This window comes from Homo sapiens, chromosome 13 (genome assembly GCF_000001405.40).
Source record: "Homo sapiens chromosome 13, GRCh38.p14 Primary Assembly".
Classification (NCBI taxonomy): Eukaryota; Metazoa; Chordata; class Mammalia; order Primates; family Hominidae; genus Homo; species Homo sapiens.
In genome coordinates this window covers 27,423,974-27,450,938 of record NC_000013.11, presented here as the reverse complement: position 1 = coordinate 27,450,938, position 26,965 = coordinate 27,423,974, and the positions used below count along the sequence as shown (strand labels likewise).

General features: G+C 43.9%; 2 protein-coding genes across 24 annotated transcripts, besides 11 other annotated features; one reads left to right on the top strand and one right to left on the bottom strand.

The window, feature by feature from the left end:
• Nucleotides 21–380: an enhancer, noted in NCBI's record as "active region_7505". NCBI's record gives its function as "activates an Ori minimal core promoter by ATAC-STARR-seq in GM12878 lymphoblastoid cells {active_cell/tissue: GM12878}" and the evidence as "EXISTENCE:reporter gene assay evidence [ECO:0000049][PMID:35858748]".
• Nucleotides 21–1,138: a biological region, named in NCBI's record as "H3K27ac-H3K4me1 hESC enhancer GRCh37_chr13:28023938-28024852".
• Nucleotides 224–1,138: an enhancer, noted in NCBI's record as "H3K27ac-H3K4me1 hESC enhancer chr13:28023938-28024852 (GRCh37/hg19 assembly coordinates)". NCBI's record gives its function as "activates a minimal SCP1, AML or CMV promoter by ChIP-STARR-seq in primed H9 embryonic stem cells {active_cell/tissue: H9 hESC(primed)}" and the evidence as "EXISTENCE:reporter gene assay evidence [ECO:0000049][PMID:30033119]".
• On the top strand, nt 375–15,296 carry MTIF3 (mitochondrial translational initiation factor 3). Of its 23 annotated transcripts, none has more exons than XM_047430128.1 (6): nt 375–430; nt 5,802–5,851; nt 9,862–9,922; nt 10,490–10,950; nt 13,666–13,823; nt 15,046–15,296. In XM_047430128.1, the coding sequence occupies exons 4-6, from the start codon at nt 10,491–10,493 to the stop codon at nt 15,262–15,264; spliced, it is 837 nt and encodes a 278-aa protein (XP_047286084.1). In that variant the 5' UTR covers nt 375–430; nt 5,802–5,851; nt 9,862–9,922; nt 10,490; the 3' UTR covers nt 15,265–15,296. The 23 variants fall into 23 exon arrangements, with proteins under 23 accessions (XP_047286084.1, NP_001159735.1, XP_011533259.1 ...); NM_001166263.2 differs by having other exon boundaries at nt 5,783–5,851; XM_011534957.4 differs by having other exon boundaries at nt 5,783–5,851; nt 9,697–9,922.
• Nucleotides 11,244–11,413: an enhancer, noted in NCBI's record as "experimental_32805 CRE fragment used in MPRA reporter constructs". NCBI's record gives its function as "activates a minimal promoter by MPRAs in K562 erythroleukemia cells, with activity observed for both the introgressed and non-introgressed 13:28013748 variant alleles {active_cell/tissue: K562}" and the evidence as "EXISTENCE:reporter gene assay evidence [ECO:0000049][PMID:34662402]".
• GTF3A (general transcription factor IIIA) lies at nt 15,116–26,320 on the bottom strand. Its single transcript, NM_002097.3, has 9 exons — nt 26,001–26,320; nt 23,747–23,847; nt 20,973–21,069; nt 20,318–20,406; nt 18,135–18,208; nt 16,720–16,800; nt 15,905–16,134; nt 15,747–15,806; nt 15,116–15,506 (listed from the first exon to the last, which is right to left on the bottom strand). The coding sequence occupies exons 1-9, from the start codon at nt 26,199–26,201 to the stop codon at nt 15,342–15,344; spliced, it is 1,098 nt and encodes a 365-aa protein (NP_002088.2). The 5' UTR covers nt 26,202–26,320; the 3' UTR covers nt 15,116–15,341.
• Nucleotides 15,255–16,454: an enhancer, noted in NCBI's record as "BRD4-independent group 4 enhancer chr13:28008622-28009821 (GRCh37/hg19 assembly coordinates)". NCBI's record gives its function as "activates an origin of replication core promoter dependent on BRD2, P300/CBP, MED14 and CDK7 cofactors, and independent of BRD4, by STARR-seq in HCT116 cells {active_cell/tissue: HCT116}" and the evidence as "EXISTENCE:reporter gene assay evidence [ECO:0000049][PMID:35650434]".
• Nucleotides 22,522–22,902: a silencer, noted in NCBI's record as "fragment chr13:28002174-28002554 (GRCh37/hg19 assembly coordinates)". NCBI's record gives its function as "represses an EF-1alpha promoter that drives an FKBP-Casp9 reporter gene in an ReSE screen in HepG2 liver carcinoma cells {active_cell/tissue: HepG2}" and the evidence as "EXISTENCE:reporter gene assay evidence [ECO:0000049][PMID:32094911]".
• Nucleotides 24,646–24,865: an enhancer, noted in NCBI's record as "active region_7504". NCBI's record gives its function as "activates an Ori minimal core promoter by ATAC-STARR-seq in GM12878 lymphoblastoid cells {active_cell/tissue: GM12878}" and the evidence as "EXISTENCE:reporter gene assay evidence [ECO:0000049][PMID:35858748]".
• Nucleotides 25,816–25,885: an enhancer, noted in NCBI's record as "active region_7503". NCBI's record gives its function as "activates an Ori minimal core promoter by ATAC-STARR-seq in GM12878 lymphoblastoid cells {active_cell/tissue: GM12878}" and the evidence as "EXISTENCE:reporter gene assay evidence [ECO:0000049][PMID:35858748]".
• Nucleotides 25,976–26,055: a silencer, noted in NCBI's record as "silent region_5202". NCBI's record gives its function as "represses an Ori minimal core promoter by ATAC-STARR-seq in GM12878 lymphoblastoid cells {active_cell/tissue: GM12878}" and the evidence as "EXISTENCE:reporter gene assay evidence [ECO:0000049][PMID:35858748]".
• Nucleotides 26,156–26,215: a silencer, noted in NCBI's record as "silent region_5201". NCBI's record gives its function as "represses an Ori minimal core promoter by ATAC-STARR-seq in GM12878 lymphoblastoid cells {active_cell/tissue: GM12878}" and the evidence as "EXISTENCE:reporter gene assay evidence [ECO:0000049][PMID:35858748]".
• Nucleotides 26,226–26,495: a silencer, noted in NCBI's record as "silent region_5200". NCBI's record gives its function as "represses an Ori minimal core promoter by ATAC-STARR-seq in GM12878 lymphoblastoid cells {active_cell/tissue: GM12878}" and the evidence as "EXISTENCE:reporter gene assay evidence [ECO:0000049][PMID:35858748]".

Genomic DNA, 26,965 nt, shown 5'->3' with positions numbered 1-26,965 from the left:
GGAGACAGCGCCCTTTCACTTACGATCCTTATAAAAGACGCTTATAAAACATTTTATTCAGTGTTACATTAAAAAGACGTTTATGAAAGCAATTTATAAAGCCCTAGTGGGAGACCGAGATTGGTGTTAATGTAACTGGAGTAAGGGCTGCTCCGATTGCTGCAGAAATTCGACATTAGCCTTCACCGCACCTGCGGAGCAGCGGGAGCCAGGTGAGCAGCAATTTCCCCTCAGGGACTTCCTCCGCGTTCTCCGCATTTTCTGTCGGCGGAACTGAATCCCAACAGTAGAAAAACGTGGCTCCGCCCATCACCTTTCCTTTAAAGGACGCGGGGTGAAGCCCCGCCCACTACGGAGAGCGAAGGGGACTCGCCGCAGATCCGCTGTACTTGCGTCCGCTACAGTATGTCAATCGCTTGCCCCAGCACAGGTAATGCTAAATATGAGGCGTGCGGAGCGGTGCGCGGACCGGCATCGGGAGGGCGTGGCCTTAGGGGGCGCCCCTGTGGAGGAGGCACCCGGAAGGTCAGGGCTACCCCGTCCCGCCGGTACCGAGGGCGGAGAGGCTCCGCAGGTCCTGCTGCGGAGTCGGAGGGTTCTGCCGGGCTGTAAAGCCATTTTCAGCGAGGCCGCTGCACGAACTTCCGAGGGATGTTAGACCTAGAGTTGCCGCCAGCCCCACTGAGCTTTTCTAGTTCCGTCCCGACATGCGCGCCCTCGTTTGTGCGCACGCACGCACGCAGTACGTCGCTACGTCCCGTCTCTAGCCCTGGCGCTCCGCCGGTCCCGTTCTGCAGGTGGGCGTCGCCGCCGACTTACCAACAACCGGGTCGGGGGCTCCCGGAAGTGCTCTTGCGGCTTACTGCCTGGCACAGGTGGGGCAGAGCGAGCCAGGCGAAGGGCGCCTGCGCAGGACATGCTGGACAAATGCGTTGTTCTTGCTGCCTGCTGTTGCGGGAGGAGGCCTTATGGGGGAAGGTCGCGAAGTGACTGGGATTTTTTTTCTCATTTGTCATTTAGTGGGCTCCGTGGCTTAAGACTTGAACCAAGTAAACGAAGTTCTCTTACTGAGAAGTCTCAGTTTCAAGTACGTGTTGTGAAAGGCCTAAGTCTTAGAAAAGTAGAGGATGGAGAGAAGAATCTGAAAATCGACTACTATTCATTCTGTCAGGCACAACACAGTAACGAATAAGTCCATTTTGTTCCTGCTTCGTAGAGTTTACGGTCTAGTGATGGAGAACAGCAGTGCTAAGATCATCACAAAACTGTAATTGTAATGAATGTTTTAAAGGAAAGGTCAACTGGACTGTAGAAGCATTCAGTGTTAAGCTCAGTAAATTGGGGGAGGGATGGGAGAACTGGCTTAGTTTGGAAGGTAATCAGAAGAATGCGCTAAGGATCTGGCGTTTCCTAAACCAAGGACGAGAGTACTGTATTTCAAAAACCGAATGGCCAGTGTGGCCTAGGCATAAAGAAGAAACTGGAGAGGTGGGAAGGGCCTTTTGGCCTGGCGAAGGTGTAGATCTTTAATCTCGGGGCAGTTTTATTTAAGGTGAGGAAGGTCCTGGGTGTAGTGACCGCAGTGCAGTGGGAACTGGTTGCCAGGGCTCAAGCCGAGTTAGGAGACTGGCAGGAATCCAAACGAGGTGGTCGATGTTTTAAACTGACGGTGGTGACAGTGGATACGGAGAGGACTGGATGGATTCGAGTGGGGTTTAGGAAATGAAGTCGATGAGGCTTGGTGTTGGGTTGACTGGGAAAGTGGAGGCGTCAAAGGTGTCTTGGAGGTGACTGGAGGTTGTGGATGGGTAGTGATCCCATCACTAGAGTTCTGGAAGAAGACTAACATAGGATTAACATAGGAGAATAAGTTAAAAAAAAATTTTTTTTGAGAGTCTCACCCTGTTGCCTAGGCTGGATGCTTAGGCTGGAGTGCGGTGCACGATCTCAGCTCATTGCAACCTCTGCTTCCCGGGTTCAAGTGATTCTCCTGCCTCAGCCTCCCAAGTAGCTGGGAATACAGGCTCACGCCACCAGGCCCGGCTAGTTTTTTTGTATTTTTAGTAGAGATGGGGTTTCACCATGTCGGCCAGGCTGGTCTTGAACTTCTGACCTCAAGTGATCTGCCTTCCTCAGCCTCCCCAAAGTGCTGGGATTACAGGCGTGAGCCACCGTGCCCGGCCGTAAGTCCAGTTTTTAATACAGAGTCTTTAGCTCTGGGTTTAAAAGCTTTTTAAAACATATGGTTATTATTTCAATTTAATAGCTAAAGAAATAAGGTTAAATAGTTGGCCAAAGATATAATGTTGGCTTTTTCCAGTGTTCTAAATGGGAGTTCTAGCACGTAAACAGCTCAGCCTCATTATGGAGAGTACACTTTGTGCTCCCTATGGAAGAGCAAAACCAGAGCCAAGGGAGGGGAGCATGAAGGCCCAGTAACGGTAGCGCAGGCCCTCTGGGATTAAGGCTGCACTGCTCAGGCCAGAATGGGGCAACTGGGACAGTTTGCAGGCAGAAGCAAGGACTTTATGAAACTTCTTTGGAAGGTGTAAAAGAGTTCTTAGAGTCATGAGAATTGGCAAAATTAATTTCACAAATATTTAGTCCGCTAGAATCTATGCAACTTTGATCCAATCTCCCAGGAAAGAACAGATAACAGTATGAGCTTGTGAATATCAGCTGTATGAGAAAAGCAGTGAGTGAACAAATAATAGAAGTTATTTTCGTCTCTTCAGTCCACATGATTTCAAATGCATGCAAGCAATTTTTTATAGGACGAGAATGCCCACCCACCCACCCCTCATATCTACTAAACCACATATTTAAATCATGTTCCAGGAAGTTTCCCTGCAAATATTTTATCAGTACTTCCGGTAGAATGCAAAATAATGAATTATACAGGGAATACAGCTGTCCTTTGGAGCAGTAATAATTGTCTTTTTTTTGGTACAAGAATGTTCACAGCAGCTATTCATAAGAGCCAAAAATAAATAAATAAATAAAGGGAACAGCCTAGGTGTTCATTAACGAAAACTAGATTTAAAAACTGCGATATATTCATATACTTGGAGGACACTTCTTAGAAATAAAAAGGAACAAGGTAATGATCCGTACAACGTGAATGAATCTCGAAACATGCTGAGATGTCTTACAACAAAGAGTAGATATTGTTTGGTTCCATTTATATGAAGTCTTAGGACAGACTGATGGGAAAAAATCAGAACAATAGTTGCCTCTTGGGGATGGAGATTGACTTGGAAATGGCAAGAGGGAACTTCCTGGGATAATGGTGATGTTCTGTCGATAGGAGTTTTGGTTACAAAGGTATATGCACTTGTCAAAACTCAGATAAAGTCTGAGTAATCATCGAATTAAAAATGGATATCATACTATAAAGTTATGCATTATAAGTAATTGACATTAAGATAATTGGTTTTTAGAATATTGTGGCTGTCTCGGAGAGTATAGTTGTGGGAGTGAGTGCAGCAAATGCAACAGGATTATCATAAGAACGTAAGCGTTTGTTTCTATTTTGAGTTAGTCTCCTGGCCTCTTCAGCCTAGTGTTGTTTACCTCACAGAGGCATCAGAGATTTTCATCAGAGAACATGGCTTCCTATTTTTATTCAACTTTGAAAGGTTAGGGGTAGTCTCAGGCATCCTAGCTCAAACTACCCTTGACCCCACTTATAGTGTTTTCTTACTCTTTTTCTTAAAGTTCATCTTTTTTTTTTTTTTTTTGGCCTAACCCACTGGTTCTGAACAGGATAGGGAAGAGGAAACATCTGTGTTTTGAAAAGCATCCCCAGGTGATGCCGACAGGCCGTGGTTTCTGAGAAACACCACCCCATTGTAGACCAGTTAACTTTTAACCGTTCACTAGCAAAAAATTGTACAAGTTCTGCCTCAAACTGAAACCATCACCATTTGTTTTATTCTTCTAAAATTTTTATTTCAGTAGCTTTTGGACTGCAAGTGGTTTTTCATTACATGGACGAATTATATAGTGGTGAATTCTGAGATTTTAGTGCACCATCACCCGAATCGTATACATTGTACCTAATGTGTACTTTTTTTATGCCAGCCTCCTTCCCATCCGCCCCCATCACCATTTATGATGAGACTTTTAGACCTGAGTTTAAGGAAAACTAAATGAAGAAATAAAGGCACTATGCATTACAAAAAAATCAGAATTTTAAGTTTATAAAGTTCCTTATTTATGGGTCACTTAGATATAGGCTTGAAACGAATAAAGGGAATATTTTTTAAAATTATGTACAAAGCCAGAATGTCAATGTATTAAATTACAGTGAAATTTAGAACTTACACAGACTAGAATAGTTACATTGGCATTACCAGTGAACCATTCCTCCCTCTAGGCTATTGATTTGTTCTTTAAAAATGTATTAATTATTGAACACCCGTATAACCATAACCTAGATTTAGCAAATGCTGCCGTAAGTGCATTGTTTATATTTTCTGCTGTATGGTTTCAAAGCAAGTGATAGATGTCATGACACTATCCTAAATACTTCAGCATTTGTTTCTTAAGAATTCCATTTTCACACCTAAGAAAATTAACAGGCGGGTGCCGTGGCTCACGCCCGTAATCCCAACACTTCAGGAGGCCAAGGCAGGTGGATCATTTGAGGTCAGGAGATCGAGACCAGCCTGGCCAACATGGTAAAACCCCATCTCTACTAAAAATACAAAAATTAGCCAGGCGGTAGTGGTGCACACCTGTAATCCCGGCTACTTGGGAGGCTGAAGCAGGAGAATCACTTGAACCTGGGAGGCGGAGGTTGCAGTGAGCCGAGATTGCCCCACTGCACTCCAGTCTGGGTGACAGAGTGAGAACCTGTCTCAAAAAAAAAAGAAAAAAGAAAATTAACAATACGTCTCTAATAGTATCTAATACCTAGTCCCTATTCAGATTTTCCCCTCATTCCCAACATTTCTTTTCAGCAAAATTATGTCTCCTTGATTTTTTTTTTCACTCAAGAATAGCTTCCCTCTTCCCTTTTCATTCCCAATGGCATTGGCTTTTTTAGACACTAACCAGGTGTCTTGTTCCATCTGGATTTGTCAGATTGTTTCCTTGTGGCATCTTCTATTGTTTCTCTGAGTCTGGCCCTTGTATCCCCTGGAAACTGGAAGCTAGACCCTGCATCAGGTTCAGGTCAAACCTTTTTGGCAAAGCTGCTTAATAGAAGGTGCCATGCACTTTGGGTAGCTTCCCATCCAGAGATGTGGCAAGGATGGCAGGTTGTTCCACTGTTGGAGATGCTGAGTCTGACGTTGGCTTAGGATGACAGACAGCTGTCTACCCTCAGCAGAGTGTGCTTTTCCCTCTCAGTCTGAAAGTAATCTGTTTGTGACCCTTTGGCATCAGCTCTCTTGCATCCTGCCTGAATCAGTAGTTTCGTTGGGGTTGGAAAAATGGTGATTTTCTTTTTTTTTTTTTGAAACAGGGTCTTGCTCTGTTGTCCAGACTGGAGTGCAGTGGTGTGATCAGAGCTCACTGCAGCCTCAACCTCCTGGGCTCAAGTGAACCTCCTTCCTCAGCCTCCCCAGTAGCTGGGAGTACAGTTGCGTGTCAACACACCTGGCTAATTTATTTTTTGTAGAGACTGGGTCTTGCTGTGTGTCCCGGGCTGGTCTCAAACTCCTGGCCTTAAGTGATCCTCTCGCCTTGGCCTCCCAAAGTGCTGGGATTACAGGTGTGAGACATCGTGCGTGGCATGATTTTCTAATTACTTTTACTTTTCTTTTGTGTTTATTAGCTGTCATTCTTCTCTACAGAAGAGCTTCTCCTCATCAACTGGGGATGATTACAGTTCTTCCTAAAAAAGGTAGGATAAATGCTCAGTTCTTTTTATTTAATTAGCAATTTTCAAAGTAAAAAATCAATATAATAGTCCCATGCAGTTGTGGCAAATTATCATTTTCATAGATTTTTGTATATTCAGTATATTGAAATGAATGACAGTGATTATGCCTTACTGTTTAAATTACACCAAAATTGACCAGTGGGAGTCTCTTCATGCTGCCAAACTGTAAATGACATGTAAACAAACAAAATCATAATACCATCATGGAAATCTGAAAGCTAAATATTTGATGAAATAAAGGAACGTTTTTTAATTGGGATAATATTGTGAATACTAAAAAGATTAAGGAGTACCTCTTAGAGATACATACTATTTCCTGAAAAAGTAGGATTTACTTTGAAAGCATTCCTGGATGGTTGGGGGGAGATAGTTGAGGGGTAAAGATGAAACCCAGCTGCTGTTTATTATCCAGTTCTTTCTGTACAAGGTTAAAAAGTTCCCTAATAAAAAGTTTTTAAATTATGAATTTATGTTGATAGCTGCAATTTAAATGTAATATTACAGGTTGTTTTAACTTTGTATTTATATTTTTATCTATAAGGGCCTGTTTTGAAGAAACGTATATTTTCAATTTTGCTGATTTAAAGCCAGTATTGAGTTAGTATTAAAGCTTAATTGCAATGAATTGCATTGTTTGCTGTATACATCAATAAAAATTGAAGTTTCTTAAAAATTTAAACTAGTGGCAAAGAACTTTAAAAGTTATATACTTCCAGTGTTTTTCTTTTTTTTTTCGTTTTTTTTGAGACAGAGTCTCGCTCTGTCGCCCAGGCTGGAGTGCAGTGGCGCAATCTCGCTCACTGCTAGCTCCGCCTCCCGGGTTCACGCCATTCTCCTGCCTCAGCCTCCCGAGTAGCCGGGACTACAGGCGCCCGCCACCACGCCCAGCTAATTTTTATTTTATTTTTTAGTAGAGACAGGGTTTCACTGTGTTAGCCAGGATGGTCTCGATCTCCTGACCTTGTGATCCGCCCACCTCAGCCTCCCAAAGTGCTGGGGTTACAGGCGTGAGCCACTGCACCCGGCCCTACTTCCAGTGTTTTTCTATTCTTTCCCTTTCCTTTGTTTCCTTCTTGGAAAGTGTTTTTAAAGCTTTTTTAAAAAACCTACGTCATTTTTCTGAAATAGTCTTTATTTTGTAAATAAAATTTATTTTCAAGTATAAAAATAACACTTATAAAAAAACTTGAGAAATACTGGCAATTAGGAAAAATAGGGGAATGAATTGCTTTTGTCTTCAACATTTTTATAAATTTTTTTCATCTTTTCCTATATCTAGTTATTTTGTTTGCTTGTTTGAAAAAAATCAAATTTTGAAATTTTTTATATTTTAATATGTTGATAATTTATTAAACAAGGCACTTTAGCTCTTATTCATAACTACTAAGGGAAAAAGATAGCCAGTACTGAGTTAGTATTAAAGCTTAATTGCAGTGAACTGTTTTGTCTACTGTATATATCAAGAATATTAGAATTTATATCTATCTATTTAGTAACATGATTTTACATGTGATAACTTCTACATCATTGTCGCTAATACAGACTTTGGAAAGAAACAACACTGATTTTAGACATAAAGTTTATAGAGCAGGCTTGTGAGCAGGAACTTAAGAGTCCCCTAGCAGAATACCTAGTGACATTTGGGACTGGATGCTGCTGCTAGTTTTCTGATAAGTGAAAAAAAAATCTTCTGTGATCTTTTCAGATTTTTCTTCTTTTTTGGTTTGGGGGCTTCCTCCATTCACAAAAGATCTGACTTTTTATTAAACAGTATGTCAGTGATTTAAAATCACTTTGCTCCCACCTTAGAGCCTTTACAGCATCTACAGCTGGAGCCACCAGCTGGGTAATAACCATAAATCAATGCATGTCATACACTGTGGATGGAGCATCTGGCCACAGATACTCACCATTACTGACGGGCATCTGAAATGCCAGCTAGAAATGTGAAGGGTGTAGTTTGTAGGCATTCGTGACACATCCGAAGGTGTAGAGGTTAAATGCCAGCAGCCCTGCCATAGCTCCTTGGCTGTTTCCTTCGGCCCGTGCATTCATTCGACATGTGCATGCTGAGCCAGGCTCTGAGCTGTAGTGCCGGGGAACACAGCAGTGAACAAAATGGACAAAGTCCATGTTCTCATGAAGCTTTCATTCCAGTGAGGAAAGATTATGAACATATATGCAAATAAATATAGAATGTGTCCAGCAGTGATGAATGCAGTAAAGTTTTTAAAAGGCAAGGTAATGGGTTTGAGAGTGTTGGGGTGTGCTCTTTTATGGAAGGGTCAGGGAAGGGCTCGCTGAGTAGGTAGCGTTTGAGCAGAGACGAGGTAAATGAACCATGAGGCTATCTGAGGGAAGAGTGTTGCAGGGAGAGAGAACTTCTGGGTGCCAGGACCCAGAGGAGGGGTGTGTTCACTGTTCACAAGGAACAGCAAGGAGGCTGGAACAGAGTGAGCCAGAAGAAGTACGGTCGGCACAGGCCAGTGGGCATGGTAGAGAGCTTAGCTTTTACTTGGAGTGAGATACTAGCCAGGGGAGGGTGTGGGCAGAGGAGGAACGTGATCTGACTTACGCATTTTTAAGGATTGCTCTGTGTGCCCTAGCAGTAATAAACTCCAGGCTGTGAGGGCAGAGGCAGGAAGAGCAGTCGGGAAGCTGTTACTGTGATGCGGTTTTACTGTGATGCAGTTGAGCGGCGCGGCGGTTTGGGAGTGGGATGATAGCAGTAGAGAAGGTGAGAAGTGGTTATACTGGTTGAACGGTAGGTTTTGCGGATGGGTTGCTGAGAGAAAATAAAGAGTCAAGGATAACGTTGGTATTTTTGGCCTGAGCAACCAGAAGAATGTGTTGCAATTACATGAGACAGGGAAGACTGAGGGAGGAGCAAGTTTTGCATGGAAGGCAAAGCATTGAACTTTGAACACGTTAATCCTCAATGACTATTACATATCTAAGTGGAGAGGTTGGGTAGGCGGTTAACCCTACAGGTGTGGAACTCAAGAGAAGAGACTGGCACCAGAGCTATAAATTAGAGTGTTGGGTGTTACCAAACTAGGTAAGGAGGGTGTTGAGAATATGCATGTCCATCACTTTCTGTTGAATTTACCATATTTTTTTGCATATCACTCTTGAACATGACAGGTGAGAGATAAGTGGGTTGTACAGCCCAGTGGGCTCAAAGCCAGGGACCAGAGGGAACTTCCAGTTTTAAACACCCCAGGAGATTCTGGGACCATTCTTTGAGAAGCACCCTGAAGACACCTTCTGTTTTCCTCTTTCATCTTTGACAAGTCACACCTCTCCAAGTTTGTGATTCTCTAATGATTCCTAGCATGCCCTAGATGAGATGAATGGGTCCTCTCAGCACTCTTTCAGCCTGTACTTCTAAGATTTACCAAATACATGAATGGAAGGACAGAAAAGCAATTAAAAAATCAATGTGCCATTTGTAAGTGCTTCAAATTCAGTCTCATAACCATGAAGTAAAACCACTGTCACCATACATGCCTCTGTTAACATTTGGTAGTAATTAACACCTGCCTTACCTTGAGAATGATCTTTATAGTTTATGAGGTTAGCACTTTGATTTATGTCACAGTGTTTTCTGACAGGCTCAGTTATTCTTGCAGTGGGCTGGCTTCCTTCCTGGAGAGGTCCCTTTCCCATAGTGTGTTCCTATCTGCTATATACCATCAGATGTATTGAAAAATTGTTAACAGTTAATTATATTAGAAGTTTATCAATTGGTGTTTATGAATCACCAAGCATTTTATGTACTGCATCCTCATAAATAAAGCCCTAAGATGACACTCGCTTTTGGAGTTGGCACTACAAGATGCATGAGAAATACAGTTGATCCTAGAACAACACAGGTTTGAACTGCATGGGGTCCACATATATGTGGATTTTCCTCCACCTTTGCCACCCCTGAGAGAAGACCAACCCCTCCTCTTGCTCCTCCTCCTCAGCCTACTTGATGTGAAGACAATGAGGATGAAGACCTTTATGGTGATCCACTTCCACTTAATAGTAAATATATTTTCTCTTCTTTATGATTTTCTTAATGACATTTCTTTTCTCTAGCTTGCTGTATTGTAAGAATACAGTATATAATACATATGGCATACAAAATATGTGTTAATCAACTGCTTATGTTATTCATAAGGCTTTCAGTCAACAGTAAGCTATTAGTAAGTTTTTGAGGAGTCAAAGTTATACACAGATTTTCAACTGCACAGGGGGTCTGTTTCCCTAACTCCCAAGTTGTTCAGGGGTCAACTAAGTAGTCAAATGAGATCATGTGTACAGAAAAAAAAAAAAAGTGAAACCAAAATGCTATGTAAATCTGGTTTATTCTAATAGCCACTTGTCTTGGGGACAGTATCACCATGAGTTAGTCTGGCCAGAGTCACCTGCTAGTCCGCTTTATCAGTGTAGACTTCCTGTGTGTGGATCTGAAAGTCTAGAGAACAGCATTTCCCTCACACTTGCAGTTACAGCCTCCACAACCTCACACACACCCTGCCATGTACCACAATGTCAGACCAAGGGAATAAGTGATTGAATTTTAATGAACTCTTCTTACTACTTTCTTAGGATGGCTGCTCTTTTTCTAAAGAGGTTAACACTACAAACTGTAAAGTCTGAAAATAGTTGCATTAGATGTTTTGGTAAACACATCCTGCAAAAGACAGCACCAGCACAGTTGTCCCCTATTGCTTCTGCCCCAAGACTCTCCTTCCTAATTCATGCAAAAGCCTTTAGTACCGCTGAAGACACCCAGAATGAAGGAAAAAAGACAAAAAAGAATAAAACAGCTTTTAGTAACGTTGGAAGAAAAATTAGTCAGCGAGTTATTCACTTATTTGATGAGAAGGGCAATGATTTGGGAAACATGCACCGAGCAAATGTGATTAGACTTATGGATGAGCGAGACCTGCGACTGGTTCAAAGGAACACCAGCACAGAACCTGCAGAGTATCAGCTCATGACAGGATTGCAGATCCTCCAGGAGCGGCAGAGGCTGAGGGAGATGGAGAAGGCGAACCCCAAAACTGGTAGGTATTTTGCTGTTGGCTCCCTGAATCCTTTAAGAGCTACAAATCAGCAGTTTAAATTCTAGCATTTGTCAAGGTGCCTGTGACAAGAGGGAAATGAGAAACTAGAAAATTCATGATTCAACCACCATTCCCAGTGTCTGTCTTTCCTCCTTTATCCTGCACTTACTCCTGTTCCCTTTTTTTCACTGTTTTTCCACAATACCCTGCCCATTATCTCTTCCCTTTAAACCTGTGTAAAATGTGGGAGAAACCAGGCAAACAAACCAAAGTGAAGAGAACTCTTTCCCCTGTCCTGTGGCCTTCTCCCAATGCCGCAGCAAGCTGAGTAGCCGATGGGGTGAAACAGAGTGAGATTAGGAGGGGTACATTCAAGTTCCCTGCCCTCTGCCGGGCCACTCATTTAACCTCCCTCCTTTTGTTTTTCTTCCCCTTCTTCAACTCTAAAGTGGAGGTGTTTGGTTAATTATCTGGAAGCACCTTTTTATTTTTTTGAGATGAGTCTCTGCCTGCCGCCCAGGCTGGAGTGCAGTGGTGCGATGTGTGCTCACTGCAACCTTCGCCTCCCAGGCTCAAGCGATTCTCCTGCCTTAGCCTCCCCAGTGGCTGGGATTACAGGCGCCCGCCACCACGCCCGGCTAATTTTTGTATTTTTAATAGAGAGGGGGTTTCACCATGTTGGCCAGGCTGGTCTTGAACTCCTGGCCTTAAGTGATCTGCCCTCCTCGGCCTCCCAAAGTGCTGGGATTACAGGCGTGATCCACTGCGCCTAGCCTGGAAGCACCTTTTCGACTCTGAAGTGATTCACAGAGCATCTCCCATGCCAAAGCATTGTGTTGCAATATCAGTAGCAACACTCTTAGATATACAACCAGTCACTTGACGAGGCACTTGTCATTTAAGCCTCACAGAAGTCAGGAATTGGATATTAAGCAAAGATGTTTGTTTTTCATAGTTCCTAAAAAGTGCCAATCATTATGAAAGTTCAATGGATGGCGCACGGGGACAGGCATCAGATGACTGCTCCCAGCACTGCATCGTGAGGTTGTGTGCCTTCAGAAAACCACATGTTATCTGCGGCTCAGTTTTGTAATGCCACATTTAACAAGGATGTTGACTGGAAAACAATATTCAGAAGAGACCAACCAGGGAGGATAATGACGTCAAACTATGTCACTTAAAAAAAAAAAGGTCACTGGGCGTGGTGGCTCACGTCTGTAATCCCAGCACTTTGGGAGGCCAAGGCAGGTGGATGGCTTGAGCTCAGGAATTCAATACCAGCCTGGGCAATATAGCAAAACCCCATCTCTACAAAAAATTTTAAAATTAGCAAGGTGTAGTGGTGCAAACCTGTGATCCCAGCTACTTGGGAGGCTGAGGTGGGAGGATCACTTGAGCCTAGGAGGCAAAGGCTGCAGTGAAGAACCATGATCATGCCACTGCACTTCAGCCTGGGTGACAGAGCGAGACCCTGTGTTTAAAAAAAAAAAAAAAAAAAAAAAAAACAGTCTTGCTCTGTTGCCCAGGCTGGAGTGCTGTGGTGTGATTTCGGCTCACTGCAGCCTCCATCTCCTGGGATCCAGCAATCCTCCCACCTCTGCCTCCCACACAGCTGGGACCACAGGTGCACACCACCATGCCTGGCCTTTTTTTTTTTTTTTTTTTTTTGTAGAGATGGGGTCTCGCTATGTTGCTCAGGTCTTGAACTCCTGAGCTCCAACGATCTGCCTGCTTCAGCCTCCCAAAGTGCTGGGATTATAGGCGTGAGCCAGCACACCTGGCCCCCAATCTTTATGATGAACCCTGGTGCATACTCTAGGGTCTATGAACCTAAATGGATCAAACTGCTCAGCAGCAGTGTATGCAGTTTCTCTACCTCCTCCCTCATTTGTCATTTTAATGGTGAGAAATTAATGTGTATTTCACTTTTTTCTTCTGTGAATTGCGTGTTTATATTCCTTTATTTTTCTACGTAGATGGTTTTTCTCCGATTTATAGGGTTCTCTGTTGTGTATGATGGAAAAAACCGTATCCCAGTTAGATTTTTCATTTTGCCTTTTTTTCTTAATGAGTTCCATCCCCTATCCTGAGATCACAAACCATTCTGTCTTTTCTTCTGTTTGTTTTAAAGTTGTATTTTTCACCTGTAGAACATTAGTATACCTGGGGAGACCTAACTTTTTGTCATCTATAAACTTCTCAATTGTCCCAACACCTTTATTGAGTGGCCGGTTCCTTCTCTATAATTTTCCAGTAGGCAGGATTTCTGGAGACAGAGGGCATGAACACAGGATGTAGGGACCCTTACCTGTCCAACAGTCTGGCTGACCCCTTATAGCAAGGAGAGCATCTCAAAAGGAGTGGGTAGTGCACTCCCAGATGCCAACCCACAGCTGATAGATAAGGATGTTAAGTGCACCATGAAGCCAAACTTGATCCTTTAAACGACTATCTTTTGGTGTTCTTTCAACAAACGATGGTTAACAATAAATGGAAGCATTTCAGATTTTAAGTACCCTTCCAGGGCAGGTAAAAAATTGGTACCTTTATGTGTATCTTCCCCATTTGAAAAGACATTTACTGGTCTGTGAAACTGAAAGCCAGATGAGAAGATTGTCAGGTGGCAACCTAGGATTTTATGATGGGCATGTTGGGAAGTTCAGGGTTCACAGTGGACTAGTCAGTAGTCCTTGCACCCTATCTGTTTCAAACCAGGACCAACCCTGAGAAAGGAACTGATTTTGTCTTCAAATATTGGACAACATGATTTGGACACAAAGACTAAACAGATTCAGCAGTGGATTAAGAAAAAACACCTAGTCCAGATTACCATAAAGAAAGGAAAAAATGTAGACGTGTCAGAAAATGAAATGGTAAGTAAAGAAGGTACAAGCCACTGCTTGTGCTTTGGGTCTTCTGATCTAAAAATACAATTGTAGGCCAGGCGCGGTGGCTCACGCCTGTAATCCCAGCATTTTGGGAGGCCAAGGTGGGCGGATCACGAGATCAGGAGATTGAGACCAACCTGGCTAACATGGTGAAACCCCGTCTCTACTAAAAATACAAAAAATTAGCCAGGCGTGGTGGCGGGCACCTGTAGTCCCAGCTACTGGGGAAGCTGAGGCAGGAGAATGGCGTGAACCCGGGAGGCGGAGCTTGCAGTGAGCCGAGATCGCGCCACTGCACTCCAGCCTGGGTGACAGAGCAAGACTCCGTCTCAAAAAAAAAAAAAAAAAAAAAAAATTGTAGAAAATCTGAAATATAAAGACAAAGTGACTGGTAATTCTTCCACCCAGTGATGTTAACAGCTTTCTAGTTTGCTTTTCAAAACTAAGCATACTGTAGATATAGTTTCCATTACAGCGTATTTTGCCATATGAACACATTATTCCTTAAAAGCAATATACTATTGTTTTATAAATTGTAGAATAACCCTTAAACAGGAAAATTAGAAACTTTATAGATTTTTTGTTTCTTCTTTGTACTTATAGGGGCATTAATTACGTAGACTGTCTTCTAGAAAGTGTGTAGTTTCCAATCCCATAAGTTTATGGAATACCTATTTTGCTTTTTTTTTTTAAAAGTTAGATAACTTTATCATCCACTAAGGGTATCCTTAGTAATCCAGCTCCACAGTAGAGTCACTTAAGCATAGGTCGCAACCCAGCTGATGCAGAATTTCTTGAGCCCAGGTATCCATTTGTTTCAGTCACTGAGAGAGACTCTGTTAGGGGCAATAGAGAGTGCTGAGAACTGCTCGGCTGACACCTTGGGGATGAGGAGGTATTTTGCCAATGCCCAAACCCAGTGCTTTCTGTTTGTGGGAGAGGGTAATGCTGAGCCAAACGTAGCCTCTTCGTGCCATGACGAAGTGGAGATTTAAAATTAGGAAGCATTCAGCATGTCAGTTTAGTTACATGGTGTTATTGTACAGATTTCAGTCAACTTAACCAGATACGTATGAACTGATTAGCTAATCACTTAACCGACAGCAGCAATTCAAGGGTGCCAGTTTTTGTGAATGTTCAAGCAGAACATTAGAAAGCACCAAAGCCTCTGATTTTAAATTAATCTTTGGCTGTTTCCCTTTTTTAGGAGGAGATATTTCATCAAATACTCCAGACTATGCCTGGAATAGCTACATTCTCATCTAGGCCACAAGCTGTTCAAGGAGGAAAAGCTTTAATGTGTGTTCTTCGTGCTTTCAGCAAAAATGAGGAGAAGGCATATAAAGAAACTCAAGAGACCCAGGAAAGAGACACTTTGAACAAAGACCATGGAAATGATAAGGAATCAAATGTTCTGCATCAGTAATTTTAATAAAGAAAAGCATGCTCTGAGAGAAAGCTCGCTCCTTGGTCTGCAGTCCTTTAAACAAAGCAGTGCAGTTCTTAGCCAAGGGTAAGTACTGCAACTGTCGAGAGCATCTTGTCTTCCACACAGTTGGGTGACTCTCCGTTTTGACACAAAGATAAGCCTTGCCCTTGTTTCCTTTTGGGAGGGATATATCCACTGAGATGAGAGGCCAAACTCCGTTTTTCACGAGATTTTTTGACCTTTGGGAATAAGGAAGACACACGATTAGAATTCAAAATCAAAACTGTCTGAGTTAATTTTACGATAGTCATATGTACCAGCAGATATAGTGTACAACATTGCTTTATGAGGAAGTAAAGTCTTCAACAGTAGTGCAGACTCAAACAGTAAAGCAGGTGAAAAGAATTCCAAACAGACTCCTTCTGGCCTTAAACAATTTCCACTTGAAAACTAAGCTTGCCTAAGTAGTTTCAACTTACTTTGAGCTTCATTTTCTTCTTGTCAGGATCATGTACAACAGCATGCCTAGTGAGACTTTGCTACAATGAAAGAGAAAGTTATTAATGAAATATTAATATGAAAACCATGTTGTGAAAGCATAGACTATAGGACCATGAGTATGAGGGTGAGTGCTTACTTTCATTGCAAATGTTTTGCCACAGCCAGCATGTTCACACACAAAAGGGCGGCTTTCCTCATGGAAGGAGAGGATATGGCTTTGGAGATTAAACACAGTTGTATAGGTTCTTCCACAGCCTTCTCTTGGACAGCGACATACATCCCTTTCTGGGGCATGAGTTTTCATGTGTTGCTTAAGGTAATCTTTGCGTTTAAATGTTTTCCGGCATACTTCACATAGTATTTCCTCTGGTGGGACAGACAGACAAATTTCACAAATTTCCCCAGATATTACCATTTAGAAAAAATTAATACCTAATATATAAGTAACATTCAGTGCCTGAAACCTGATCACTATATACAAATCAGAAATTCCCAAGGAAACAACCCCAGTTTTTATCACCTAGGAAGTTTGTCTCAATTCTCTGAAGTTCTTAAATGCCACACAGTCATTGTTCACTTGCCAAGAGGCAGGGCTCTCAGGAAGGTGACTGTGGGGAGGTACAGAAAATGAAGCAGACCAGTGTCCTTCCTTGTCCCCCAGTATGCAGGGTACTGTTTCCCAGGCGGTCCCACAGAACAGCAGTGCCTCCCGAAATTCTTCACTACAGACCTGCCACCGCCTTCAGCATGCTAATTGTGCATGGTGGGGTGGCTCAGAGACCTGGCACAGCTCTGCTCACCTTTCCAACAACATCATACCCAGCACTTCACAAAATATCATAGAGAAACCCTTTTACTTTAAAGCACACAGCATTTCACTCTTGAAAAGCACTAAATCAGTTCTGTGGGGACAAACATTTACACCATGCCTGCCATTCATGCCTGCCTTACCTTTATGGGTTTCTCTCACATGTTTCAGAAGTTCCGTCCATGTTTTTGCCACAAAGGAACATCCTTTTTGACATACATAGCCTATTAAAAAAATTGGTGCATTGTCTGTCATGAATACTCAGTGTAAACACTGACCATAACTAGAAAGGAAACTTAGGTGCCTATATAATTTTCCATTCCCCGCCTAATAGTATTCAACTCAGCCTCTTGAGGTGGGAATAAAAACTAAAAAAAGATTGATGTTATAGTAAAACTGAACAGTGGCACAGCAAGGTGCCTCCCTTTAAGGATTTTACCTTCCTGTGAAGCAAACTTCAGAGTTCCCATCTTCTCAGCGTGATCACGGAATAGGCAAACTTCACAGGAAGGATGCCTAAGGATGCCTTTTCCTCTCTAAGAGTTCTCAGGAAGTTGGGTAGGCTGTGTATGGACTCCCAACTGCTTTAACCTCCTATCTCCATGTCTTATTTCCCTTCCCCTGCCTGCTCTATCCTCGCCTCTATTTTCCTCAGCAAACATACTCTGCAGTCGGTCCCTTGTCCATGGCACACCACCAACTTTTCAGTAGTGTTACCATGCCCACCTCTGGCTTCCTCTAGTCTGGCCATCTTGTAAGTGTCATACTGCACAAAAAAAGTAGGGTACATTATATTTTAACTTTATCACAAAAAAAAAAAAAAAAGTTTTTTTTTGTTTTTTTTTTTTAAAAGAGTACAGCTAAGGAAGAAAATAAACTGGAAGGACCCAGAGAAAAACACTGAATAACAATGGATATGTGCAAAGCACTAAAATGGGATTAATAAGTATACAACACTAGGGCTGAGTTCCACCCAACTAGAAACTAAAAACAATGAGGCTGCCTCTCACTGTTAGCTACTAACCTCTTAAAAAAAAAAAAATCATAAATTCTAGGACCTGGGAAATTGAAATACAGATTAGCAAAAATCCCTCAAGGAAACAGATCATAGATTCAAATAGTTAATATAATCAAGTCTTTTTTTTTTTTTTTTGAGAAACGTAACATCTGATGGCTCTCAAAATGTCACACGATTATCCAAGCCTTGTGAATGGCCAACAAGGAAAAGAATGGCACAGGCAGTAAATATTAATAGAAGAGGTTAAAAATGACAGAAGCATCAAAGCCATGGCTGGAGCATCAGCACATTCGTCAGTGTAATGTGTAACCAGGCGCTTGTTGTGAACAAACAACACATTACATGTGAACAGCAATGATACGGTAGTGGAAAAACAGACATATACAGTGCCTCTTTGGACAAGAGTGTAAGACCCAAATAAGCAGGATGGTGTCCCCTGTTCACAGGGTTCCCATCTTTTCAGCGTGATCACAGAACAGATTCAAAGGCGCCCAGGATTTGGCATCCCCCTCGGAGCACACCCAGGCTATCCGTACACACCCTCGTGGGCCTTGGCATGTCGTTTCAGCTTGCTGGGTGATGCAAAGTGTTTCCCACATCCTTCCTGGGTACACCTGCATTGGCAACACATGAGGTATTAGCCAATCCATTTTCACAGAGAACTCCGCTCAAGGTCAATGGCACTTTGTCCTGTTTCTCCCACCAAAGTCTTGCCTCTTCCCATAACCAAACCCATGTTAAAATGTAGCTCTCATCACAGGTGAGATTCAAGTTACTTGACCAGCTTTAGGACAAAACAAACTGTTGGAGAAAAAAGTCACGTTACTTTTTTTGACCCATTTAAACAGTTTTCATCTTTATACCTCTGGAAATATACTCTGCTTTCATGGCTACAAAAAGATAGTTCAAGAGGTTATCTGACTTGGCTTAGATAAACCCCTAAGCCATTCTGAATCACTTGTGTCTAGCTTTCCTAATGATGCTGCATAGGGGGTGTGCGAGACAGCACAGCAGTAGATGCATCTGCCTCTGGTGAGCAATAAAAAGCACGGGCCCCCTCTGTGCTAAAGCCATCAGCAGCAAAGCAGCAGCAGCAGACCCACAAGCAAGGACAGGCAAGGTCACTGCAGCAACTCCAAGGCACAGGGCAGCCTGTGCAAGTCAAGGGAAAGTGCCGGATGGCCAGAGCCATGCAGAGAGCCGCTGGCCCTTTTGCAGGTCTACCCAACTTGTCCAGCCACCCTCACGTTCCTCAAAAAACCCTAATTGCAGATAAACCCAACTACTTGTTTTGTTCTACAGGAAAAGCATAATGAGTGTCTCCATAATGACATTTCATATAGTTGCACAGGCTCTATTTGAATAGTTAAGTAATTTCTCAGCCTTTAAGCTTAACCACAACTAGAATAATCTCAAAAATTATTTTGAAACACATTAAATATTTCTTTCAGAGCAAAGTAAACCTTTAAAATGCTCCCAATATATAAATGTGCATATGCAGTACATTTTAACAGAAAAATGTTGATTAGGAAGCTTTCAGAAGATTTGTCCCACCGTTGCTTTAAATTTCAATGGCTTTTGGGGTTGCAAGTGTTTTTTCGTTACGTGGATGAATCCTATAGTGGTGCTGAGATTTTAGCGCACCATCACTCAAGCAGCATACACTGTACCCAATATGTAGTCTTTCATCCCTCACCCCCCTCCCCAAACTCCCCACCCCAAGTCCCCAAAGTTTATGAAATCACTGTGTCTTTTTGTCCTCATAGTTTAGTGCCCACTTAGTGAAAACTATGGTATTTGGTTTTCCATTCCTGAGTTACTTCACTGAGAATAATGGCCTCCAGCTCCATCCAAGCTGCTGCAAAAGACATCATTTTGTTCCCTTTTATGGCTGTGTAGTATTCCATGGTGTATATACATCACGTTTTCTTTATCTACTCATTGGTCGATGGGCACTTAAATTGGCTCCATGTATTTGCAATTGTGAACTGTGCTGCTGTAAACGTGTGTGCATGTGTCTTTTTCATATAGTGACTTCTTTTCCTTTGACCAGACTTCAGATTATACTACGAGGCTACAGTTACCAAAACAGGGTGGCACTGGTTTAAAAATAGGCACTTAGACCAATGGAACAAAACAGAAATAAAGCCAAATACTTACAGCCACCCGATCTTCAACAAAGCATATAAAAACGTAAACTGGGGAAAGGACTCCCTATTCAATAAATGGTGCTGGAAAAACTGGATCCCTATCTCTCACCTTATACAAAAATCAACTCAAATTAAGTTTATGACCTGAAACTAAAAATTCAAAATGAAAACATTGGAAAAACTTCTGGACATCAGCCTAGGCAAAGAATTCTTACTAAGGCCCTGAAAGCAAATGCAACAAAAATAGAAATAAATAAATGGGACCTAATTAAACTAAAAAGCTTCTGCACAGCAAAAGAAATAATCAGCAGAGTAAACAGACAACCCAGAGAGTGGGAGAAAATACTGGCACATTATGCATCCAATAAAGAATGTATATCCAGGATCTACAGGGAACTCAGATCAGCAAGAAAAAAACAATCCATCGAAAAGTGGGCAAAGGATATGAACAGACATTTCTCAGAAGATATACAAATGGCCAAAAAACATGAAACAATGCTCAACACCACCCTTGCATTTCCAATCTTATTCACACCTAGAATCCAGGCATTTTCAGCCACATGAAGTACCTACTTGAATAGAGGTTCATTGGTATGCTGGCACTGATGGATTTTCAGCTGCTGATGTTTCTTAAAGGTCTTCTTACAGTCTTCAAAACTGCACTGTTAAATTGTAAAGGCTCGTTAGTCTTATGGAAAGTCAAAACAAAATGAACAGTTCGTAACAGAATCCTCAAGATAAAACAATTTTGGAGACTGTATAAAATTTCTGCTTTCACCCATTTTGTTACTGTAAAATTCTGCTTTATCTCAAAAAGGTTTGAAGAATCATATAACATTTGAAAAAGCAAAACTGTTTCAGTTGGAATAGTCTCCCAATACACTAATTTGCACAATGTCTGCTTCCAAATTAAAACCTTTATCATTATGATGGCATTAAGTAAATTCAGACATTTGGCAGACAAAATTTGGTTGACGAAAACTTTATTTTTCACTTTTATTTTTTAGAGACAGGGTCTCTGTTACCCCAAAATTTTTTGTTTTGTTTTCTGTTTTTGTTTTTTTTTTTCAGAGACAGCATTTCACTATGTTTCCCAGGCTGGTCTCAAATTCCTGGCCTCAAGCTACGATTATAGGCTTGAGCCACCGCACCTGGCTGAAAATGTCAGAAACATAGGCAGTAAGTGTAAAAATACTCAAAAAATTTAAGCATATAAAATCATACTTACTATATATTGTTTTTGTTGATTTTCATGTTTGCGTTCAAAATGTTTCTTCAAGTTTGATTTTGTGTTGAATTTTTGATCACAGCCATTGGCTGCACAACTGTAAGAAGTTATATAAACCAAAATATTAATAAACCAAGGGAGAAGAAGTTTTAAGACACATATATCTTCCTACTTTATAGAAGCTAATTCTTCCAAAGAATAGTAATACTATAAAATAGTCTTAGCGAATTCCAGAGTGTTAAGCCATACCACATAGACTCTCAACCTGATGACTATCATGTAACAAAATGCTTTTTCATATTAGGCTTCTGAAATTATACACACTACATCAGTCATCTTTTATACACACTGGGCAGATGGGAAGGTGAAATACACTAGTCCCAAAAGCCTACACTAGGCCTAAATCATGCTTAAGACAAATTATTCTCAGCTTAGAATCTGACAACCTTAATGCTGCTTGAGATGTCATTATGAACTGGATTTCCAGAAAGGCCTCCATAAAACTTGTCTTGGCTTATCATTAGAGGTAAAACAGATACTTAGAGCAGAACCATAACCATTATGTTCTCTGGCTTACCAAGCCATTCTGGTTCCCCTTATCTTGGCATCTTGGCTTTGAATGATCTAAATCCTCTGCAAAGCCTTTTCCTTTTTTTTTTTTTTTTTTCCCAAAAGAAAATTTGTGCCTCTTGTGATGAGCCTTCGTAAGCTTGAGGGATGAAGCAGGACTTCCTTTCCCAGGCTCAATCTTAGCCATCACTCACTGATAACCCTGAGGCAGGCACTGTCCCATTCCTAGGGCCAAGCAGAGACAAACAAGCCAGCAGTGACCATGGGAGGCACAGCACAGAGGCCCACAAATGGGAGGGGCGCTGTGGCAGAGACCCTAGAAGCCCCCCTAACTGCAGGGACAGAATGCTGAGTGTTAGCTGGGCAGGTGGCCGACAGAAAGTGCACTCTCCGGCCTCCCCTGCAATTAGGGCGGCTCATGGCTGAGTCCAGCCCATCCTGCTCAACCCCCACAAAGTCTCTAAATAAGGGGGCATGCCTCTTATGCCCTTTCCTCCTTCCTGCCAGTGGCATGCTTATGTGACAGATGGGCCCAAACAGGCATCACAGTGAGGTTAAAGCCCAAGATGAGGATGGCAGAGACCAGTCAGAAGAGGCTCCAGAGCTCCTGCCTCTGTATTTCTGTATTTCAGTCGCACAAGACAAAGAGCCCATCTTGTTTAAGCATCTCTTGTGCTGGGGTTCCTGCCATTCTTCACTCTAAACCTGACACAGGCATCTAACCCAACCGGGTATGGGATAGGAGGACAGGCCAGGAAGAGTCCTGACAAGACCCAAGTGGGCGTGAGAGACCCCGGCACACTTGGAGAGGGGGCTGGTTAGTTAGCACAGCTGGACCACAGCTTCATGCCTGCAAGTCAAGCAAATGGGGCAAGATAAGCAGAAAAGGGCTAAATCACGCAGGTCATTGTAGGACACACTTGAAACCTGGATTTCACATGTAGGCCGTGCTTGAAAGCACTGCACAGCTTTAAGGGAAGCACACGGGAGGGCACTGGGGGAGAGGGCTGGCCTGCAAACTGTCATTCCAGCCAGAGGAAGGGACCGAGATAAGACAGTGGCTGCTGGATCTGATGGGTCAGTTACAGGATCTGGCAACCCACCTGTTGCAAGGGATGGGAGAAAGAATGGAGAGTCCAGGGAGCTGCCTTATCTTTGCTATGGGTCACTGGACAGACAGCGAGGCCACCTCTCCAGACAAGAACATGAGAGAAGATCAAACAGAAAAGTGAGCTCAGTTTGACTGTGACAAATTTGGGCCATGTGGAATTTTTTATTTATTTATTTCTTTAATAGAGATGGACCTGACCATCTTGCCCAGCCTGAACTCCTGGCCTCAAAGCAATCCTCCCACCTCAGCCTCTCAAAGTGCTGGGATTACAGGCATGAGCCACCACACCCAGCCTACCACATGGAATTTAAGAAGACACAGAGATAGCCAAGTAGCACTGTCCAGCGAGCAGTGGGAAACGGGGAACTACAGCTAAAGAGGGGCAGGGTCTGGGTTAGATCATGAGCTGGAAGAGTCATGTCCAGTAGTTCCTGGTTGCATGGCATTTCCTACCATCCCCACCCCCTACTTGGCCAGGATCCCCCACTGCTCCCAAAACAGATGACATTTTTAGTTTTGTTATGTAACTTTTAAGACTTCTTTACAAATAGGAACAAATACAAATATAGTTGCTTCCTGCCTACCCAACACCCACTACTCACCCCTCCCCCTACCCCCTAGCTTTTTTACACACATAAAAGTAGCCTAAAGAGGACTCTTCTGCACCTTGGTTTTTCAATTAAAGTGCCCTGGTGATTTTCTCATGGCTTTGCAGAGAGCATCTGCATTCATTTTCCTGGCTGTAGGGTATCCCATTGTGTTGATATACTTTAGCTTGTCCCCACCCATGAGCATTTTATGTTAGCTCAGCCTCCTGGGTAGCTAGGATTACAGGCACAAACCACCATCCCTGACTAATTTTTGTATTTTTGTACATACGGGGTTTCACCATGTTGCCCAGGTTTGTCTCAAACTCCTGGGTTCAAGTGATCTGCCCATCTCCGCCTCCCAAAGTGCTGGGATTACAGGCATGAGCCACCGAGCCCTGCCAGGCTTCACATTCCTGATCTCGTGAGTTAACATCAATCTTCTTACTGGGTCTATATGCCCAACACAACCCACTTCAAAAGCCTAAAAACAGGTCTCTACTTACACAAACGGCTTTTCTCCTGTGTGAGTCAGAATGTGGCGGCTCAGATGGTAGTCCCTGATGAAGGCCTTGCCACACCCTTCATAGTCACAAACAAATGGTCTCTAGCAGGAAAAAAGAAAAAGCATGTCACTTCTGCACTAGTTAGTAACTCTGGTATTATTTAAAAGCTTAAACTGCCTAGTGTTAAGGCCACAGGCTTCCTATGAAGAGGTGGTTTCTACTCAGAGCTGTGCACCCACTGCAAGACGCAGTGTTCCTGCACAAAGTTACACAACATAAACATCACAACTTCTCACAAAGTCACTACACAGATTTTTGTTCCATGAACAGCATTTAAAATAAGCAGGCATAGCATTTTTAACCTGCTCCCAACCCGGCAGCAGGCTTTCACAGCAACCCCCTCTTAAAGACGCCCTGGCTGTTAGCATGGCTTGTCTGCATGGATCCCCACCACCGCATGATTTAACATGTAAAAAAGCAAGCCTAGGGCAGAGGAACGAGGGAGGCCTGTCTCATCCCAGACAAGCCCAGGGTCTGTGCTAGGATAATGCCAAGCACAGCTATAGGAAAGTGTGTCACACCTGAAAAAGCTCACAGGTGCCAGGGCGAAGCAAAGAAAACAGCTCAACACCCTAAATGCAACCACCTTTTGTAACCCAGGAGTTGGGAGGGGGTGACTCATTTTGAACCTATAGTAAAAGCCAAACACACACCCCAAATAACCAAATAACCAGTTTGGTGCATCAAACTATGAAAAGCATACTACCAAGGCGTCCAGGAGGGAGGCACCGAGGCCTCCATGAGAGTACTAGGAGCAAAACAAGCAAACAGGAACACAGTGAGCTACATACCACCAGGGGCGGAGCCACAGAACCTTGCACAGCGGCAGGCGTGGAGTAGGCTCAATAAACATTTGTCAAATTAATCTGCATGAGAGATCTGGGACAACAAAGATGACTCCAAGTTTTTCAACCTGTATTAAGGAAACTGGTAGCGCCAGTATCCAAAATACAGCACACCGGTCTAAAAGGAAAGGCAAGCTCTTACGTGGATCTACTGGTAATACAGAGCCCAGAATTTAGAGGCTAGAACGGGCAAGAGGAAGGGCAGAGGGGCAAAGCATAAAGGATGTTATGAGTCATGCCGGTGGCTATGTAAGACCGCAAGAGGGAGCTGGGCGGGGTGGAACATGCAGAGGGCAGAAGAGGATCCAACGAAAAGGGCAGACGAGGAAGAGGAAAAGAACCAGAGAAGGTCTCAAGGAAGAAGCGGTCGGCCTTCCAGTGCTGGAGAGGTTAAGGAATGAGGCCCCGGAGGACACCTGGAGAAGGTGGCCCATAAATTAGAGGAGGTGCAAGGGGCAAAGGTATGGACTGCAGCCCAGTGGTTTAAGAAATTAAGGGCTTTAAGCTGAGGCAGTGTGAAGCCTAGCTCTGCCAAAAACTGGGAAGCTGGGCAGATTCCTTGACCTCCATGACCCTCGTTTTCCTCACTTGTGTGTGACATGGGCTGCCACGTCATATCATGGTATCTGACATTCTCCTGCCCTCAAAATAAAATCCAAACTCCTAATGGGCCTACTTCTCAGACCTCATATGGTGATCTCCGCACCCAAACACACCCACCTGCCTCCCACCCCAAGGGTCACAGGCTCCCTTTGTGTTCTCTCTACCTAGCACAAATGTCTGCATGGCTAGATCCTTCCTTCTTACACGGCTCACACAGAGAGGCCTTTCCTGACCACAACACTGCATGTCATTCCCACCTATCCTGTGGTCGGCTCGACCCAGGAACAAAGGTCCATGGCAGCAGAAACCTTGGGTTTGCCTGTTTTGCTCACTGCTCTCTCCAGTGTGGAGTTACGAAGAAATGAGCACATGCTGCTTTCACGACCCCTGGTACATGTAACCCATCTTCTGTACCAGCTCCAGGGGCCAGTGTTTGGCAGGTGTCTAGTAGCGGTGGGCCCCCTCAAACCTCACACTTATTTGCAGATTACGGGAGGCACTTGGCTGGCCGAGACTCACGATCAATGACTGCTTAGTAAATCCCGAGCCCCTGCCATGGATATCAAGGTCGCAGAACGAAGGTCCTACAACTTCCTGTCTACTTCCTCAGCTCCTTCCCCAAGTCCTGGATGTCAAAGCTGAACGCGCTGCACAGCGGGGCCTGCGGCCCTGGCCACGACTGCAGTGGCTACCCCGGGGCCACGCGCCATCCCTAGGCCCAGGGTTGGCAGCCTCGCCCCCCTCACCTCCCCCGTGTGCTTGCACAGGTGCGCGTCAAGCTTCCAGGCTTTGCTGTAATTGGCGCTGCAGTCAGGGAAGGAGCAGATGAACCTCCTGGGAAGCGCGGGGCGCGGCGGGGTCGGAGCTGAGCTCTCGCCGGCTGCAATGAACGCGTCGGCGATGGTCAAGGACGACACCGACTCGGCGACCACGGCCGGCGGATCCAGGGCGCCGGCGCCTCCAAGCCCAGGGCCAGGCGCGCTGCCACGTGCCGAGACACGTGCCGGGAACCGGCGCGCCCGGCCCACGGCTCCCTGCTGAACCTTCGCGCGACGCCGGCACACTTCCGGGAGCGCGCGCGGTCACCAGGCACCGCCCCGCGTCGGCGCCGCTGCTGCGCATGCTCCGGGAGATCGCGCATGCGCCAGGAGGCCCCGCCGCGGCTCGCGGCCCGTGCCCTGTCAGCCCTGGATGAGAGGCGGGGGTTTCTGCGTCCTCGGCAGAAGGCTGCTGCGTTTCACAGGCAACTCAAATCCCGAGGCACTGCTTAAATGGGGCTTGTTTCCCGTCCTCCAGTACACTCTGGAAAGCACTAGCCTTACATAATTTAAGTTAGCCTGTTGCCACATTACTAGTGTGACCTGTGTGGTTTCGTTTCTTTGCGTGCTTTACGTGCTTCTGCTGCAAGCCCCAGTTCAGAGGTTCCTAAGCTCAGATTCACGTGGAGAGCTTTACAAAATCCCGAAGCCTAGAGGATACTTGGACCACTTAAATCACAATTTCTGGGGGTAGGAAACAGGCATCAGTATTTTTGGAAACTTCCTAGGTGATTTCAATGCGCAGAAAAGTTTGGGAACCACTATCCTGGCACAGTAGTGCGCACCTGTAGTCCCAGGTACGCGGGCGAATCGCTTGAGCCCAGAGTGAGACCCCGAGCTCTAAAAGAATAAATACAGATGTCTCCCCATCCTACCCTTCCCCACCCCGGCAA